Source organism: Homo sapiens, chromosome 3 (assembly GCF_000001405.40).
Source record: "Homo sapiens chromosome 3, GRCh38.p14 Primary Assembly".
Classification (NCBI taxonomy): Eukaryota; Metazoa; Chordata; class Mammalia; order Primates; family Hominidae; genus Homo; species Homo sapiens.
The window spans coordinates 170,329,421-170,330,886 of NC_000003.12; the positions used below are offsets into that span (position 1 = coordinate 170,329,421).

General features: G+C 46.0%; 1 annotated feature.

The window, feature by feature from the left end:
- Positions 941-1,235: an enhancer, noted in NCBI's record as "tiled region #5121; K562 Activating DNase matched - State 8:EnhW". NCBI's record gives its function as "activates a minimal TATA promoter and a strong SV40 promoter by Sharpr-MPRA in K562 cells {active_cell/tissue: K562}" and the evidence as "EXISTENCE:reporter gene assay evidence [ECO:0000049][PMID:27701403]".

A 1,466-nucleotide genomic window follows, 5' to 3' on the forward strand; every position in this document is an offset into this window, starting at 1 on the left:
CAAATTCTATAAGACAAATGATACAGTTTTTTTTTTGTTTGAGACGGAGTTTTGGTCTGTTGCCCAGGCTGGAGCACAGTGGCACTATTTCGGCTCACTGTAACCTCCATATCCTAGGTTCAAGCGATTCTCCTGCCTCAGCCTCCTGAGTAGCTGGAGCTACAGGTGTGCACCACCACAACCGGCCAATTTTTGTATTTTTAGTAGAGAGCGGGTTTCACAATGTTAGCCAGGCTGGTCTTGAATTCCTGGCCTTAAGTGATCTGCCCACCTCAGCCTCCCAAAGTACTGGGATTACAGGCATGAGCCACAGCACCCTGCGAAATGATAGTTTCTTCCACAAAGTGCAAGAAAAAAGGAGTGCCTGTAGATTAAGGGACGTAAACATACTCAAGCACAGTATGTGAACCTTGATTCAAGCACAGAAACTGTAGAAACAAGCAAATATTTATGAGACAGCCAGGAAATGTGAACACTGGCTAGATATTTGATGATATTATGATATTAAGGAATTATTGTTAATTGTTTAACAATTAAAAGTTATTGTTGGCCAGGCGCAGTGGCTCATGCCTATAATCCCAGCACTTTAGGAGGCCAAGCGGGGGCGGATCATGAGGTCAAGAGATCAAGACCATCCTGGCCAACATGGTGAAACTCTGTCTCTACTAAAAATACAAAAATTAGCTGGGTGTGGTGGCACGTGCCTAAAATCCCAGCTACTTGGGAGGCTGAGGCAGGAGATCGCTTGAACCTGGGAGACAGAGGTTGCAGTGAGCCAAGATCGCGCCACTGCACTCTAGCCTGCCAACAGAGCAAAACTGTCTCAAACAAAACCAAACAAACAAACAAATATATACATATATAGTTAATTGTTTAAGGTACGATACTGGTATTGTGATTGTGGGTTTTATTTTTTATTGTGTTTTAAAGACTTCTTGCTGTTTGGCAATACATACCAAAGTAAAGAGAGGCTTATGTGGCTGGCCTTCCTTGTCCCACAAACTGTTATCCCACAGGGTTGGGTCTCTTTACAACAGTCAGAAAACTGGCATAGACACCGAGGAACCCAGGCCCCCTCTGACTCATCACAAAATTTGCCTATGTGAGTCACCGGCGTCAGCAGAGCCAAGGTAGATCCAGGGTAGCTGGTCACTGGGAATAGTAGTACTTGCTGAGTGTGAAAATGTTTCCCTGGTCCAGTGATAGGACGTGCTGGGGCCATGGTAAACTGAAGAGTATGCTCTAGCTGAAGGCCTTCAAATTCAATGAAAGAAGAAGGTGGGCCGGGCACAGTGGCTCACCCCTGTAACCCCAGCACTTTGGGAGGCCAAGGCTGGTGGATCACGAGGTCAGGAGTTCAAGACCAGCCTGGCCAAGATGGTGAAACCCTGCCTCTACTAAAAATACAAAAATTAACTAGGCATGGTGCCAGGCACCTGTAATCCCAGTTACTCAGGAGGCTAAGG